General features: G+C 39.4%; 1 protein-coding gene and 1 long non-coding RNA gene across 2 annotated transcripts in view; one reads left to right on the top strand and one right to left on the bottom strand.

The window, feature by feature from the left end:
• HIVEP3 (HIVEP zinc finger 3) overlaps window positions 1-18687 on the top strand; it is a 529570-nt gene that overhangs the window by 37569 nt on the left and 473314 nt on the right. The gene's annotated exons all lie outside the window — the stretch shown is intronic.
• On the bottom strand, window positions 1348-16834 carry LOC124904160 (uncharacterized). Its single transcript, XR_007066031.1, has 4 exons — window positions 16693-16834; window positions 16399-16579; window positions 16090-16212; window positions 1348-1503 (listed from the first exon to the last, which is right to left on the bottom strand). It is a non-coding gene; the product is annotated as an uncharacterized LOC124904160 (long non-coding RNA).

Here is an 18687-nt window from a genome sequence, read left to right as displayed (position 1 = left end):
CATAGTGATTGTGAGTTTAACTGGGCAAAATTCAGTATCCAGTGTCCTGAATGATAATATAGTGATAAGGCAAAAATTATTTAATACTTAATGTAGAGAAAATTAAGATAGAATGTGAACTTTTTTGACATGAACTATGAACTGAACATATTATGTTCATTTTATAGTATATTGGCTTTCCTTTTAAAAATTAATCTTATATTTATCCCCTTGTTAATCTTTTTTTTTAACAGACAGACTTTTAACACTCTAAGAGGGTGGTTTGTTTCTTGATGTTAAGCCAGGGTACCTAAGGATATTTTACAAACACATCCATTAAATTGCTGAGTTCTCTAAGTTTGACAATTTACTAAACTGATATAACAGGTAGTTCAATTTAGCAGCTGTATGGAATCAATCGTTTAGCACAGTTTGATATTTAACACTGCAGCTTAACCATAAAAATACAATTTATGCTAATATGTTCTATTCAGGCCTGTTTCCAACAAAGCCTACAATTTAGCCCCTTCGAGTTCTCACAACTGCTGTTTACTAATAATGCTTGATTTCAACAGAAAAAAATTCCTTCAATTCAAACAGCATGGGAAACTTGTATTTTGAGGGAAGTTAATCATTTGGTGATTCTTTAATCCTTATGCTCAAAGTTGGATGTAATTTTCACATCTTCTCTGTTTTCTTTCTTCATGTTATATGGTGTTTTGGTCCTTAGAGAATTAGAACAAGTACAGCATATTCACATTTTATGCAGAGGATGCATTCCTAAAAAACTCACATAATTTAAAACTTGCACAATTCGAGTCTAGTTTTCAGTTAGGAATAAATATAAAGTAAGATTTTCTTGGCTTCAACTGTGCATAAAGAGAAGGTTTATTAATTTTGTATGTGATACTATTTAAAATTTACACGAAGTGCAACTGCATGGCGTATCTTTTGCCCCCTTTCAATGTCTGCTGGACTGTCCATCTCTTTTCATGTTCGTGTTGCTGAGTCAAAAATGGGGGTGAAGCTCCTCCCCCGTTAGCCAATGTGGAGCAGCCACAACAGGAAAGGCGTGGTAGTTTCAAACCAAGGCCACATGGCCACACATTTATTGGCACTCCTTCCATTGAGAGGTTGGGTCTATGACCCCTACTCTAGAATCTGAGCTGGCTGTGACAATTTTGACCAGTCTTTACTGTGGACATGATGCTATGCTATGTGATTCCCAAGGTGTAGTTGATAGAATAATGTTCCCTCCCCCTGCCATAGATGTTCACATCCTAATCTGCAGAACCTGTGAATGTGTGTTACCTTATATGGCAAAAGGGACTTGGCAGATGTGATTGAGTTAAGGATCTTGAGGCTGGAAGATTATCCTGGATTATCTGGGTGGGCTCAATGTAGTCACAAGGGTCCTCATAAGACACAGACAAGAGTTTCAGGGCCAGAGAGAGATTCGAAGATGTGCTATGCTGCTGCCTTCAAAGATGGTAGAAGGGGCCATGGGCCGAGGAATGCAGGTGGCTGGAAAAGACAAGGGAACAAATTTTCCCCTGAGTCTTCAGAAGGAATGCAGCTCTGCTCACACTTTGATTTTATTCCAGTGAAATCCATGTGAGACTTCTGACCTCCCAAACTGTACGATAGTAAATTTGTATTGTTTTAAGGCACTAAGTTTGTGATAATTCATTATAGCAAGAATGGGAAATTAATACACAGGGCTAAGTCAGGAAAAGCCTGGTTCTCCTGGAATGTTCATTCCCTGGATCCTCCCATCCTTCCTCTCAGGATGCTACCTCTTGGAATCCAGCTACCATACTATGAGATACCCAAACTGTGCATGGGTGCTCTGGTCAGCTGCTCAAAGGAGCCCCACCTTTGAGCCACCCCAGCCCAGGTGTCAGATATATCAGTTATCTCTATGGGACTCTATGAGTCCAGCCCTTAGCCATTAGAGTTACTGCCAGCTCTGTCTCTCTCTCTCTTTTTTTTTTTTTGAGATAGGTTCTTGCTCTGTCACCCAGGCTGGAGTGCAGTGACATGATCATAGCTCACTGCAAGCTCAAACTCTTGTGCTCAAGCAGTCCTCTAACCTTATAGCCTTTCCAGTAGCTAGGACTACAGCATACACCACCACGCTCAGCTATTTTTTTTTTAATAGAAATAACGTCTTGATATGTTGGCCAGGCTGGTCTTGAACTCCTGGCCTCAATTGATCCTCTCACCTCAGCCTCCTGATTGCTGGGATTACAGGTGTGAGCCACTGCCTCTGGACCCCAGCTCTTTGAATCTTCCAAGCTGAGACCACAGACATAGTGGCACAGAGAGAAACTATTTCTGCTGTTCTCTGCCAAAATTTCTGACCCTCAGATTCCAGGAGCTTAATAAAATGGCTATTTTAAACCAGTAAATTTGGGGTGATTTGTTGAGGCAGAGGAGGAGGTGAGGATACGTGAACCAAGGCAAAACATCTCACTGCCTAGAGGCAAGTGTGGTTTGGCCTCTGCTGGAGGTTAATGTTACAAGCTGATTTGGACTGATGCTGTGATGGAGCTGAAGGAAAAAGAGATGAACCCAAAAAGAGACAATAGGCATATCTCACTCATCAAAGTCTAAAATTACTTCAAAATACCTTTATTTTCCTCCTGAATGATACAATGATCCCAGGACACATTAACTCCACTTACCTCCCTCCTGATCATAAATTATTGTTGTCATGCATTTTATTCCTATCATTTTTTTAACTGACAAGGCATTTTTGATGTTTTATGCAAATAGTGTTAATTTAGATTTATCCACATCTTTGTTACTTTTTCTGCTTTTCTTATTGTATCTCAGATCTTTCATCTGGGATCACCTTTCTTCTTCTTCATGAAGAAAATTCTTCAGAATTTCTTTTAGAGAGTGTCTGCTGGTAGCAAATTCAGTTTTTGTCTGAAAATGGCTTTATTTGCTCTCATTTTTGAAAGATGCTTTCACTGATAATACAATTCTAGATTGGCAATTGTTTTCTTTGAATTCATTGAAGATATCATTTTATTGTCTATAGCCTCCACTGTTTCTGCTGGGAAGACAACTACACTCTTTGAAGGTAATCTTAATTTTCTCTGGTTTTCTTTTCCCCCTCACTTCTGTTACTTTTGTCATAATTCTGTGAAGTTTCACTGTGATGTGTCTAGGAGTGGGTTTCTTCCACTTAGTGCGATTGGGTTTCACTGGGCCTTTCACTGGGTACTCGTGATCAACATCTTTCATTTGTTCTGGAAAATTCTCGGTGATTATCTTTTAAAATATTTCTTCTGCCCATTCTCTCACCCTTCTTATACTCTGAATAAAACGTATGTTGGACTTTTTCCTCTCTGTATCTTAGACTTTCTTTTATATTTTTTGTTACTGTCTGTCTTTGAAATATTTTAGGTAATTTCTAATTCTCTCTCTAATAATGTGTAATCTCTTGTTAAACCCAGTCATTGATCCTTTTTTTTCTTTTAGTTTCTGGAGCCTCTCGGGTTATTTTTCAAATCTTTGATGTCATTTTCAGATCCTTGTTCTGTGCAGATAGGCTTATACTTTATATATTTGAACATAGTAACATGATAAGCATAGTTGTTTTATAGTTTGCATTTCTGTGTTAGTCTGTTTTCACACTGCTATAAATAACTACTTGAGACTGGGTAATTTATGAAGAAAAGAGGTTTAAGTGACTCACAGTTCAGCAGGCTTAACAGGAAGCATGGCTGGGAGGCCTCAGGAAACTTACAGTCATGGTGGAAGGTGAAAGAGAAGCAAGCACCTTCTTCACATGGCAGCAAGAGAGATAGAGAGAGTGATGGGGGAAATGCCACACAATTTTAAACCATCACATCTCGCAAGAACTCATTCACTATCATGAGAACAGCATGGGGGAAACCTGTTCCCATGATCCAATTACCTACCATCAGGTCCCTTTCCCAACATTGGGAATTACAATTCAACATGAGATTTGGGTGGGGACATAGCGCCAAATCGCATCAATTTCATAATTCCAATATTGCTAGCATTGGCTTATCTGTTTCTGCTGATGTTGCTTCTGCTTATAATACATTGTTTCCTAGGCTGCTCGGGTATTTTTTTTTTTTTTTGCTAAGTCTATCACTGTCCTTAAAAAATAATTTGTGGGAATTATTTGAGGCCTAAGATAACATGCTTCTCTCCAGAGAGGATTTTTTTTCTTTATTTTTATTTTTTTCTTTTATTATTATACTTTAAGTTTTAGGGTACATGTGCACATTGTGCAGGTTAGTTACATATGTATACATGTGCCATGCTGGTGCACTGCACCCACTAACTCGTCATCTAGCATTATGTATATCTCCCAATGCTATCCCTCCCCCCTCCCCCCACCCCACAACAGTCCCCAGAGTGTGATGTTCCCCTTCCTGTGTCCATGTGATCTCATTGTTCAGTTCCCACCTATGAGTGAGAATATGCGGTGTTTGGTTTTTTGTTCTTGCAATAGTTTATTGAGAATGATGATTTCCAATTTCATCCATGTCCCTACAAAGGAAATGAACTCATCATTTTTTATGGCTGCATAGTATTCCATGGTGTATATGTGCCACATTTTCTTAATCCAGTCTATCATTGTTGGACATTTGGGTTGGTTCCAAGTCTTTGCTATTGTGAATAGTGCCGCAATAAACATATGTGTGCATGTGTCTTTATAGCAGCATGATTTATAGTCCTTTGGGTATATACCCAGTAATGGGATGGCTGGGTCAAATGGTATTTCTGGTTCTAGATTCCTGAGGAATCGCCGCACTGAATTCCACAATGGTTGAACTAGTTTACAGTCCCACCAACAGTGTATAAGTGTTCCTATTTCTCCACTTCCTCTCCAGCACCTGTTGTTTCCTGACTTTTTAATGATTGCCATTCTAACTGGTGTGAGATGGTATCTCATTGTGGTTTTGATTTGCATTTCTCTGATGGCCAGTGATGATGAGCATTTTTTCATGTGTTTTTTGGCTGCATAAATGTCTTCTTTTGAGAAGTGTCTGTTCATGTCCTTTGCCCACTTTTTGATGGGGTTGTTTGTTTTTTTCTTGTAAATTTGTTTGAGTTCATTGTAGATTCTGGATATTAGCCCTTTGTCAGATGAGTCGGTTGCGAAAATTTTCTCCCATTTTGTAGGTTGCCTGTTCACTCTGATGGTAGTTTCTTTTGCTGTACAGAAGCTCTTTAGTTTAATTAGATCCCATTTGTCAATTTTGTCTTTTGTTACCATTGCTTTTGGTGTTTTAGACATGAAGTCCTTGCCCATGCCTATGTCCTGAATGGTATTGCCTAGGTTTTCTTCTAGGGTTTTTATGGTTTTAGGTCTAACGTTTAAGTCTTTAATCCATCTTGAATTAATTTTTGTATAAGGTGTAAGGAAGGGATCCAGTTTCAGCTTTCTACATATGGCTAGCCAGTTTTCCCAGCACCATTTATTAAATAGGGAATCCTTTCCCCATTGCTTGTTTTTCTCAGGTTTGTCAAAGATCAGATAGTTGTAGATATGCGGCGTTATTTCTGAGGGCTCTGTTCTGTTCCATTGATCTATATCTCTGTTTTGGTACCAGTACCATACTGTTTTGGTTACTGTAGCCTTGTAGTATAGTTTGAAGTCAGGTAGTGTGATGCCTCCAGCTTTGTTCTTTTGGCTTAGGATTGACTTGGCGATGCGGGCTCTTTTTTGGTTCCATATGAACTTTAAAGTAGTTTTTTCCAATTCTGTGAAGAAAGGCATTGGTAGCTTGATGGGGATGGCATTGAATCTGTAAATTACCTTGGGCAGTATGGTCATTTTCATGATATTGATTCTTCCTACCCATGAGCATGGAATGTTCTTCCATTTGTTTGTATCCTCTTTTATTTCCTTGAGCAGTGGTTTGTAGTTCTCCTTGAAGAGGTCCTTCACATCCCTTGTAAGTTGGATTCCTAGGTATTTTATTCTCTTTGAAGCAATTGTGAATGGGAGTTCACTCATGATTTGGCTCTCTGTTTGTCTGTTGTTGGTGTATAAGAATGCTTGTGATTTTTGTACATTTATTTTGTATCCTGAGACTTTGCTGAAGTTGCTTATCGCTTAAGGAGATTTTGGGCTGAGTCAATGGGGTTTTCTAGATATACAATCATGTCATCTGCAAAGAGGGACAATTTGACTTCCTCTTTTCCTAATTGAATACCCTTTATTTCCTTCTCCTGCCTAATTGCCCTGGCCAGAACTTCCAACACTATGTTGAATAGGAGTGGTGAGAGAGGGCATCCCTGTCTTGTGCCAGTTTTCAAAGGGAATGCTTCCAGGTTTTGCCCATTCAGTATGATATTGGCTGTGGGTTTGTCATAGATAGCTCTTATTATTTTGAAATATGTCCCATCAATACGTAATTTATTGAGAGTTTTTAGCATGAAGGGTTGTTGAATTTTGTCAAAGGCTTTTTCTGCATCTATTGAGATAATCATGTGGTTTTTGTCTTTGGCTCTGTTTATATGCTGGATTACATTTATTGATTTGCGTATATTGAACCAGCCTTGCATCCCAGGGATGAAGCCCACTTGATCATGGTGGATAAGCTTTTTGATGTGCTGCTGGATTCGTTTTGCCAGTATTTTATTGAGGATTTTTGCATCAATGTTCATCAAGGATATTGGTCTAAAATTCTCTTTTTTGGTTGTGTCTCCGCCAGGCTTTGGTATCAGAATGATGCTGACCTCATAAAATGAGTTAGGGAGGATTCCCTCTTTTTCTATTGATTGGAATAGTTTCAGAAGGAATGGTACCAGTTCCTCCTTGTACCTCTGGTAGAATTCGGCTGTGAATCCATCTGGTCCTGGACTCTTTTTGGTTGGTAAGCTATTGATTATTGCCACAATTTCAGATCCTGTTATTGGTCTATTCAGAGATTCAACTTCTTGCTGGTTTAGTCTTGGGAGAGTGTATGTGTCGAGGAATTTATCCATTTCTTCTAGATTTTCTAGTTTATTTGCGTAGAGGTGTTTGTAGTATTCTCTGATGGTAGTTTGTATTTCTGTGGGATCAGTGGTGATATCCCCTTTATCATTTTTTATTGCATCTATTTGATTCTTCTCTCTTTTTTTCTTTATTAGTCTTGCTAGCGGTCTATTTTGTTGATCCTTTCAAAAAACCAGCTCCTGGATTCATTAATTTTTTGAAGGGTTTTTTGTGTCTCTGTTTCCTTCAGTTCTGCTCTGATTTTAGTTATTTCTTGCCTTCTGCTAGCTTTTGAATGTGTTTGTTCTTGCTTTTCTAGTTCTTTTAATTGTGATGTTAGGGTGTCAATTTTGGATCTTTCCTGCTTTCTCTTGTGGGCATTTAGTGCTATAAATTTCCCTCTACACACTGCTTTGAATGCATCCCAGAGATTCTGGTATGTTGTGTCTTTGTTCTCGTTGGTTTCAAAGAACATCTTTATTTCTGCCTTCATTTCGTTATGTACCCAGTAGTCATTCAGGAGCAGGTTGTTCAGTTTCCATGTAGTTGAGCGGTTTTGAGTGAGATTCTTAATCCTGAGTTCTAGTTTGATTGCACTGTGGTCTGAGAGATAGTTTGTTATAATTTCTGTTCTTTTACATTTGCTGAGGAGAGCTTTACTTCCAAGTATGTGGTCAATTTTGGAATAGGTGTGGTGTGGTGCTGAAAAAAATATATATTCTGTTGATTTGTGGTGGAGAGTTCTGTAGATGTCTATTAGGTCCGCTTGGTGCAGAGCTGAGTTCAATTCCTGGGTATCCTTGTTGACTTTCTGTCTCGTTGATCTGTCTAATGTTGACAGTGGGGTGTTAAAGTCTCCCATTATTAATGTGTGGGAGTCTAAGTCTCTTTGTAGGTCACTCAGGACTTGCTTTATGAATCTGGGTGCTCCTGTATTGGGTGCATATATATTTAGGATAGTTAGCTCTTCTTGTTGAATTGATCCCTTTACCATTATGTAATGGCCTTCTTTGTCTCTTTTGATCTTTGTTGGTTTAAAGTCTGTGAAGGAAAAAATGTTAAGGGCAGCCAGAGAGAAAGGTAGGGTTACCCTCAAAGGGAAGCCCATCAGACTAACAGCAGATCTCTCAGCAGAAACCCTACAAGCCAGAAGAGAGTGGGGGCCAATATTCAACATTCTTAAAGAAAAGAATTTTCAACCCAGAATTTCATATCCAGCCAAACTAAGCTTCATAAGTGAAGGAGAAATAAAATACTTTACAGACAAGCAAATGCTGAGAGATTTTGTCACCACCAGGCCTGCCCTAAAAGAGCTCCTGAAGGAAGTGCTAAACATGGAAAGGAACAACCGGTACCAGCCGCTGCAAAATCATGCCAAAATGTAAAGACCATCGAGACTAGGAGAAACTGCATCAACTAAGGAGCAAAATCACCAGCTAACATCATCATGACAGGATCAAATTCACACATAACAATATTAACTTTAAATGTAAATGGACTAAATGCTCCAATTAAAAGACACAGACTGGCAAATTGGATAAAGAGTCAAGACCCATCAGTGTGCTGTATTCAGGAAACCCATCTCACGTGCAGAGACACACATAGGCTCAAAATAAAAGGATGGAGGAAGATCTACCAAGCAAATGGAAAACAAAAAAAGGCAGGGGTTGCAATCCTAGTCTCTGATTTTTTTTTCTTTTGCTGAGTACTTCAGGTCACTTCTGGTCTAATACAATTTTAAAATAAACTATGGCTTTTTTTGTTGTTGTTTTGCCTACACAGATAAGGTAAATTTGGACAGAAATGGCAGCTAGGGCTGCCTTTTTCCCTTTCCTTAGTTATCCTCCTGATTAACTTCTTAACTCTCTTCAGAACTCTGTTCAAATATCTCCTTATCAATGAAGCCTTCCATGACCACTTGCTATAAAATATTATTCTTGTGTAGTGCAGTCTTCCTATCCCACATTATTTTGTTCATAACATTTTTTACCATATAGATTGCTCTATGATTCCTTGTTTATTTTTTGTAGATTTTAATTTTTTAAATTGACAAATACAAATTGTACATATTTATGATGTACAGTATGATATTTTGTGATGTATATATATATGTACACATACTGTGCAATAACTAAATCAAGCTAATTAACATACCCATTAACACATATAATTATCATTTGTTTTGTGGTGAGAGCATTTAACATCTACTCTCTTAGCAATGCTTAAGTGTATAATACGTTGTTATTAACTATAACCACCATATTGTACAGTAGATATCTTGAACTCATTCTTCCCATCTAACTGAAATTTTATGTCTTTTCACCAGCATCTCTCCAACCCATCCCCCACTATCCTCTAGGGACCACCATTTTTATTCTCTGCTTCTATGAGTTTGACTTTTAGATTCCACATACAAGTGAGATCATGCAGTATTTGCCCTTCTGTGCCTGGCTTATTTAGCTTAACATAATATTCTTTAGGTTCATCTGTGTTTTCACAAATGATAGGATTTCCTTATTTTTAAAAGCCAAATAATATTCCATTCATCCAATATATATTACATCTTTTAATCCATTCATTTGTTGATGGACACTTTGGTTGATTCCATATCTTGGCTATTATAAATAATGCTGCAGTGAACATGGGAGTTGCATATATCTCTTCAACATACTGATTTTATTTCCCTTGAATATATACCTGCAAGTGGAGTTGTTGGACCATATGGTAGTTCTAGTTGTAATTTTTTGAGGAACTTCCCTACTGGTTTTCATAATGGCTGTACTATCTTACATTCCCATCAGTAGTGTAGAAAGACTCCCTTTTCACCACATCCTCACTAACACTTGTTATTTCTCATCTTTTTGATAACAGCTATCCTAACTGTTGTGAAGTAATATCTAATTGCGATTTTAATTTACATTTCCATGATGATTAGTGATGAGTATTTTTCACAAACCTGTGGCCATATGTATGTCTTCTTTTGAGAAATGCCTTTTCAGATCCTTTGCCCATGTTATTTATTTTCTTAATATTGAGTGGTTTGAGTTTCTTATATATTTTGGGTATTAACCCATATCAGATGATTGGTTTGCAAATATTTTCTCCTGTTCAGGTTATTTTTTCATTCTGCTGATTATTTCCTTTGCTGTGCATAAGCTTTATAGTGTGATGCAATCTCACATGTCTATTTTTGCTTTTGTTGCCTGTGCTTTTGGGGTCATATCCAAGAAATCTTTACCAAATCCAGTGTCAAGAAGCTTTTCTCCTTTGTCTTTTTCTGGTAGTTTTATAGTTTATTATGTTTAAGTCTTTAATCCATTTTGACTTGATTTTTATATATGGGATGAGATAAGGGTCTGATATGGTTTGGCTCCGTGTCCCCACCCAAATCTCATCTCGACCTATAATTCCTATGTGTTGAGTGAGGGAGGTGATTGGATCATGGGGGTGGTTCCCCCATACTGTTCTCATGATAGTGAGTGAATTCTCATGAGATCTGGTTGTTTGATAAGTGTGAGGCTCTTTCCCCTTGTGCACTTCTCCTGCTGCTTAGTGAAGAAGGTGCCTGCTTCCCCTTCCGCCATAATTGTAAGTTTCCTGAGACTTCCCCAGCCATGCAGAACTGAGTCAATTAAGCCTCTTTCTTTTATAAATTACCCAATCTTTATATCTTTATAGCAGTGTGAAAATGGACTAATACAGGGTCTAATTTCAATTGTCTATCTAATTTTCCCAACACCACTTCCCCAATGTGGGTTCTTGGCGTTTTTGTCAAAGATCAGCTGACTGTAAATGCATGCATTTATTTCTAGGCTCTCCATTCTGTTCCATTGGTCTCTATGTCTGTTTTTGTGCTAGTACCAGGCTGTTTTGATTACTCTAGCTTTGTAGCAGATTTTGAGATCAGATAATGTGATGCTTCCAGCTTTGTTCTGTTTGCTCAAGATTCCTTTGTCCATTTGGAGTCTTTTGTGATTCCATATGAATTTTAAGATTGATTTTTCTATTTCTTTTTTATTTATTTATTTTTATTTTTTAAAATTTTACTTGAAGTTCTTAGATACATGTGCAGAATGTGCAGGTTTGTTACACAGGTATACATATGCCATGGTGGTTTGCTGGGATTTTTCTATTTCTATGAAAAATGTCATGGGACTTGTGGTAGGAATTGAATTTGTGGATTACTTTGGGTAGTAAGGTCATTTTAGCGATATTAATTCTTCTATGTTTATAGATTTATCACTATCTTGTAAGCTTCAAGAGGGCAGAAACATTGTTTCATTCATTGCTCATTCCTGGTACCTACAATGATGTCTGGCACATTGTAGGCACTAAATAAATATTTAGCAGAATGTATAAATGAATGTGTATTATCTCAGATACTCAGAATCCTTTAGACACAATTCAGTATAGTACAGTATACAGATATTTGTCGATCAGGGATATGAGCAATACAAAGCAGTATCTAGAATAATTGATTACCCTTAGAGATCCTCTTAATTAAAGAATACAAACTTCTGTCTCCAATACTAACTCATATTTTTAAAAATCGTGTTTAAATATATTTGATAAATAGTATTCATTTAATACTCTGCTGGAAGGACAGTATCTTAATAGTTTATGAAATGGGCAGCAATTAATAAATACATTTGTGTTAAAAATGTCCTATTCGGCAGGGCGCGGTGGCTCACGCCTGTAATCCCAGCACTTTGGGAGGCCAAGGTGGGTGGATCACGAGGTCAGGAGATCGAGACCATCCTGGCTAACACGGTGAAACCCTGTCTCTACTAAAAATACAAAAAATTAGCCGGGCGTGGTGGCGGGCGCCTGTATTTCCAGCTACTTGGGAGGCTGAGGCAGGAGAGTGGTGGGAACTCGGGAAGCGGAGCTTGCAGTGAGCCGACATAGCGCCACTGCAGTCTGGCCTGGGCGAAAGAGCAAGACTGCGTCTCAAAAAAAAAAAAAAAAAAAAGTCCTATTCAACACAAAAGTGTAATGTCAGTAAAGCTGTACCACTTGTTCAACAAATACTTATAGAACTTCAGTGTTATGCATGGAAGCCTTGTAATTATGAAAATGAATATGATAATGTTTTGGTAAAATAATATTTTACATCTTGTGCAAGAAAAACCTGAGCAGTTTATTTTAGTTTGGCACCAAAATTTCCTTCCACTTCTGAACATTCAGCTAGATAGTTATATAAGCAGGCTCTCATCTTTTAGACATTTTCTACATATTAGATTCTGAAAGGGCCTTAGAGAGCAGGACATTCTCTTCCCTTGATTTTAAAGATGAGGAAACTAAGGTACAGATAGCATGACTTGAGCCACATCATGTAATTGGATAAGGGATCTAGATCTTGGCTCCACAAACTTTCCAGATGGCTGCCTCCTAGTCTATAAAGATCTTAACTTTGAAATAGATTGACTAAATCTGTGACAGGTTTAACATGGGTGGATCTTTTTTTTTAAAACTGACTTTCATATTCACAGAAGAGACTTAATGTTTAGCCTTGCACTGAAAGTTTTCCAGGCAAAACTTTTAGAAATTTCAGTATTAGGAGTCAAATCTACTCCATAGCCAACTAGACATGGACAAGCATCTGACAAGGGCCTCCTTTGAGCCACTCTCCTTTGTAGCTAACTGGGATAGTACTGGGCATTTCCTCCTTCTAGCTATTGCTGTTCCTCGCCCCCAGATCTGACAAACAGGAGGAACTCAGCTTTTCATGGACTTACAAGAAATATTTAGCAGAACTCATCTTCGTGTCCCTGCAAATTCGTATGTTGAAACCCTAAACTCAATGGGATGGTATTAGGAAGTAAGACCTTTGGGAATTAATTAATCCGCCCTCATGATGGGGTTAGTGCCCTTATAAGAAGAGACACCTATAAGAAGAGAGTTTGCTTCCTCTCTCTCTGGCATGTGAAGACACAGCAAGAAGGTGGCCATCTGCAAACCAGGAGGTATGCCCTCACCAGATGCTGGATCTGCCAGCACCTTGATCTTGGACTTCCAGCCTCCACAACTCTGAGAAATAATTTCTATTGTTTATAAGCCACCCAGTCTCTGGCAATTTGTTATAGCAGCCTGAACTAAGAGTAGACTCTTCATGTTCTGTACTATGGCCTGGAAAATTCTACATGTCCTGGCTCCTGCCTCCTTCTTAGGCCTCATTTTGTGGTACTGTCATCTTGCTCACTACAATCCATCCTCTTCTCAAACTCACCATGCTTAGCATAGTTCACGTGCCCGTAACCTGGAACTAGTTTTCCATTCTTCCCATGGCTAGCTCCTTCCCACCCTTCATATCTCAACTTGAAAGTTGTCTCCTTGGAAAAATCAATCAATCAACCAACCAGTCAATCAATCAGTCATCCCCTGGGAAGGGCCTTCGCTGCCATTCTGTCTAAAGCAGGTCCTTTTTTTTTTTTAGTCCTCTGACTTAGTGCCTTGTTTATTTCTTACATAGCACCTGTGAAAATTTATAATCATTGTATTTATTTGTTTATTTTCTGCTACTTTATAAGATTATATGCCCCTAGAGGGCAGGAGCCTCATTTGTTTTGTTCTGTGGGCCCAGCTGGGTGCCTGGCATGTGAAAGTGGTCTGTGGGATATATAATGAAATGATGTCTCAGAGTTACCTCTAAACTCTCCATCCTGTGGCCAGCAGTAGCCCTTCCCCCTGTTATCTGTCCATTAGCAAAATCAGATCTTTCTAGTAGTGGTCAGTGTGCTTTCTTACAATAAACTAAACTTCTCTGCCATGTGTCCTCCATGGGGGTTGTGTTTTAAACGTTCGATCCCTTCTCTCTGGCTTCTGGGTGATTGCTTTTCCCTTCTCTCAAGTCAGTGCTCCTTCAGACTTTGCTTTCTGAAATGTGCATTCCACGTCTGGATATTTGTTGTGCACCTTTGAGTTCTGAGTTGGTTGCTTTTTTCCTCACTTCTCCCTTAGGGCTATCATGTCAACTTTGATATGACAGTTTCAATCTCTTTTTTCCCCCATTCAGGTCATATTCTCCAGATAACAAAATGTTGTTATTGAATAGCCCTTCTGTATTGTCTGCTTGCTCATTTTTTTCTCAAGAAAAGTTCTATCCAGGTTTATTATTTGGCCAAAAAATACATAGTATGGGCCCAGTGCAGTGGCTCATGTCCATAATCCCAGCACTTTGGGAGACTGAGTGGGAGAATCACTTAAGGCCAGGAATTCAAGACCAGCCTGGGCAATATAGCAAGACCCTGTATCTACAAAACAAACTTGTTTTAAAATTAGCTAAGTGCATAATTTCATTGCCCCAGTTACTCAGGAGGCTGAGGAGGGAGGATCGCTTAGAGTCCAGGAGTTCAAGGCTACAGTGAGCCAAGATTGTGCCATTGCACTCCAGCCTAGGCAACAGAGCGAAATGCTGTCTCTCTCTCTCTCAAAAAAAATATGAGTATGGATTTTTTTTCTTCATTGTTCTACTTCTTTATCTGAGCATCACTTGAATTCTCCCTTTTGTACATGAGAGGCTGTATGTTTGTTACATCCTGCTGTTGCCTATGGACGGTGGGTAGCAGACGGAGCCTTCCAGTAGGTTACTTATCATCAGGACATTTTTTTTTCTTTTTGTTCTGTCTTTTTAATTAAAAACAAACCAAACAAAACTCCAGGAGCCCCTCAGCTGAGAAAGAGGTGGATCTGGTATCCTGATGGCTTTTGAGCTCTGACATCCCATCCCATCCTGCTTGCTGGTGAGTCGGCCACTTAGGAGTGCGTGACTTGTGGCTTCAGGGGTTTGGCTTAGGTATGACTGTTTTTCTTTTTTCTCCACCCAGCTGCACCTTTATTAGCTGTTGCTATTTTCTGCTAAGACAGACAGTTAATCTTTGGTGGTTGTTCCTCCATACCTTTTCTTCTCATTTATATTCCAGAAATAATATATATTTATGCATGTGTATGTGTATGTGTGTGTCTGCCTGCACATAAGGAAAAGGATAACAAAAAGTGTGATCATGTTTTGAACTATGAGTATGTTCCTTACTTTATGTTTGCGCTTGTTAAATTTGATTTTTGTGCATTACTGATGTCTAGATCTTCTTGATTTGGATCGGTCATGGTTTCATTGCTGTAAGTAATTTTTGATAGGGCTTTAAATTTATAGTAGATATTAATAAAAACTGTTGTTAATGATTCTCCTTTTCTTCCTCTAGGGCAGGGGTCTGCTATTGGTCTGTGGCCTGTTAGGAACTGGGCTGCACAGCCTGTGAGGTGGGCGAGCATTACCTCCTGAGCTCCGCCTCCTGTCAGATGAGCAGGGCATTAGATTCTCGTAGGGGTGTGAACCCTATTGTGAACTGCGCATGCAAGGGATCTAGGTTGCACACTCCTTTTGAGAATCAAACTAAAGCCTGATCATCTGTGGTGGAACAGTTTCATCCTGAAACCGTTCCCCTGCTACCGGTCTATGGAAAAGTTGTCCCTGGTGCCAAAAAGATTGGGGACCGCTGCTCTAGGGACTCCCTCACACTAGACTTTGTATTGTTGGCATTTGTTTCATTCAACTAACATTTATTAGGCACCTACTCTGTACCAGGCAGAGCCTTGAGGATACCAAATAGTCCCTCCCTGTCTTTCAATTGGCCAAGACCTATTCATATTTAAACTTTTTAAAAATTGGCAGATTTAATAATACACCTCCTATTCTATCACCAATTCTGTCGGCAAGTAATTAATGGAAATGTTAAATAGTACTGGGCAAGAACTGACCCGGTGGAACTACATTTGTTAATTCCCCCAGGCTGACATTTACACTGACCTGTTAATCAATTTTGTCTTCACTGGATAAATAAATTACAGTTTCCCAGTTTCATGATGGGTAGGTCATACAAGATAAAACTGAAAGCATTACATAAATTCCTCTTTTTGAAGGACACGATTTATCAGATTTATTCTCCAAACCCTGTTGATTTCTGCTGTGGCTGTAGCTGTTCATCAAAATAAGGTAGGGCTGCGCTCATGTATTCTGGAACCTTTGAGTACAACAGCAGGCAAGGGGAAGATGAGAGGGACGCAGTTCCATCAATGCCATTAAACTGCTTTTGTTTGTGCGGAAGAAGAAAATGGAAGGACAAGGATTTTGTTACCTTTGAATCCCCTTTTGCATTCCCATTCTCGAAACTTTAGTTGTCATTCAGGTGGATTCGGACCTTTCCAGCCCCTTTGACGTGGATGATGGATAAGGCTTCGCTTTCAATGCTGTATGGTTGCTGTTAATTAAAACCAAGCAAACAAGGAAATCTTATAAAGTACCACGATAAAGAAATTGATGTTGGAACTACCTCCTTTGAAGTATGTTTTACAAGTGGGATGAATATATGCCCATTCCCTCATGTGTTCATCTGCCACCTTCTCATTTACAAGAAGTAAGCATTTCTTTACTTTTACTGACTCACCTCAGAAATATTTACTTCCCTCTTCTTTTAAATGCTAGGCAGCAGAACCCCTCTGCAGCCCCTGGACCCCCACATTTCAGCAGCTGTCCCCTTGGCCTGAACTTGCCACGAGACTGAAGTGCCCACACATTCAGTGGAGACTGGAATATTGTCTTTCACATTTTCCCTTCTCTTCCTTCACCTTTAAAAGTATGTAGAAGACAGAAAGTCCCAGAATGATGAATCCAGCGAAAGCAGTGAGAAGCTGTTTATATATATAACAAAACGCAATTTCCTTTACCTTTAATGCCTTACCTTCTCTTATCAACCCTCATTCTCTCATCAGTCCTCACCCAACTTTTTGCAGCAGGTAAAATCTCCACTTTACCTTGGAGGAGATGGGGTGGGGAGGCAGTGTGGTTACCCAGTTTGCAGAAGGTCACACAGCTAGTGCACTGCAGAGCAGGAAGACGTGGCAGGCCTTGAGTCCAGCCGCCAGCTCAGCAGAGGTGGGGAGGCTGGATCTGACACACCCTGAGCCTCCCCACCACTTCCTCCCTCCTGCCCCCGACGGAGCCGGCTCCTCCAAATGTGACCCTATAAATGGGGTTTGCATTTCCCCGTTTGCTTCCCAGCTCCGTGGGGATGAAGGCAGAGTCCTTCAGGAATCTTGCCTTTATTTTCTGACAAGGTTCCTATAGGGCTATTTTAGGTGTTGTTATTTCGATGTTTTACCAGGCTGATGCAAATGTTGCCAAGCTCCCTGTAAGAGCTTGCTCCCTTTGGAGACACGTACCTTCTTCCTCTTGTTGTTTGCTTTCCACCCTCACTGTTCTCACAAGGGGAGGACTTTGCTTCTCTCCTTGCCTCTGGGCCCAGCTTGCCAGAGCTCACCCACACCTTGCAGAAGCGAATCCTGATGTGTGCTTCTGAGCCAGGCCTCTCTCAAGCTTGCCCAGCTGTGCAACGATACCCACTTTAGCCCTGCTGGGCACGGTTTGCACTGGTCTTGCCTTGCTTTCTCTCCTGCTGGCCCAGACACCAGCAGGCCCATCCTCCTAACATTCCTCATGGAGTATTTGCTTGGCAGCAGAACCTCTGCTCCAAGGAGACTGTTCCTCTGAATTGTCTGTCAAGGGATTTATCAAAGAAGAAAACAGCTTGCTACTTCTTGTCGCTGACATGTGGTTTAGGGTTAATAAGCCTTGGTTATACTGAATCAAACAGCTCGAGCCCATGGCCCTCAGACGGTTCCATTCACACCCTTTCCCCATTTTAATAACAACTTTATTGAAGTATAATTTGACACCATAAAATTAACCAATTTTAATTGTGTAATATAATGATTTCAGAGTCGTGCAACCAACACACATTGCAGTTTTAGAATATTTCCGTCATCCCCAAAAGATCTGTTGTGCCCAATTGTAGGCAATCTTCACCCCATCCCCAGACCCAGGCAATCACTAGTCTACTTTCTGTCGCTATAGATCTGCCTTATTTGGGCATTTCATATAGAGTCATATAATAGGTAGTCTTTGTGTCTCTTTTTTTCCACTTAGTAGAATGCCTTTGACATTCATCGCATTGTAGCATGTATCAGTATGTTTCATTATACTACCTACTGTATTCTATTGGATGAATATCCCTTGTTTTGTTTATCCATTCACCAGTAGATAGACATTTGGGCTGTTTATACCTTTTGGCTATTATGAATAATACTACCATAAACAGTCAATTACAAGTCTTTACGTGGACATATTTTTTCGTTTCTCTTAGATACTTACTAGGGAATTCCTGGGTCCCAGGGTAAGTTTTATGTTTAACGTTTTAAGAAACTGCCAAATTGTTTTCCCAAGTGGTTGCACCATTTTACCTTACTGTCAACAATGTCAGAGTCTTCCTGTTTCTCCACATCCTTCCAATACATACCATTGTTTCTTAAAGATTGGCTTAGAGCAGACACAAAGCCCTGCCTTGCTTCTTTGCTAGGCATTGCACCTTCACCAGACTGCAGATTCATTCACTCAGACCTTTCTGCTCCCCAAATGCAAGTCTAAAATGGCAATAGAAAATATGATTTTATAGTATTCATATTCCTGCTCCCATAACTAGTAGCAGACTGTTTTTAGTTTCTTTCTTTATAGTAGATACTTTTTCTCCTATAAAGAAGGGAAGAATATCAAATTTTCCCAAATATCTATAGGGAATTTAGTAATGCACCATGCAGCAAGGAAGGAGGGCTCATGTTAAAGTGTAAATGGGCCTTCTGAGTACACAGAAATCAACCAGTGTTACTTTCAGAATGTGGCT

This window comes from Homo sapiens, chromosome 1, assembly GCF_000001405.40.
Source record: "Homo sapiens chromosome 1, GRCh38.p14 Primary Assembly".
Lineage (NCBI taxonomy): Eukaryota > Metazoa > Chordata > Mammalia > Primates > Hominidae > Homo > Homo sapiens.
Note: the sequence above shows the minus strand (reverse complement) of the source record. Positions and strands in the feature narration are given on the sequence as shown.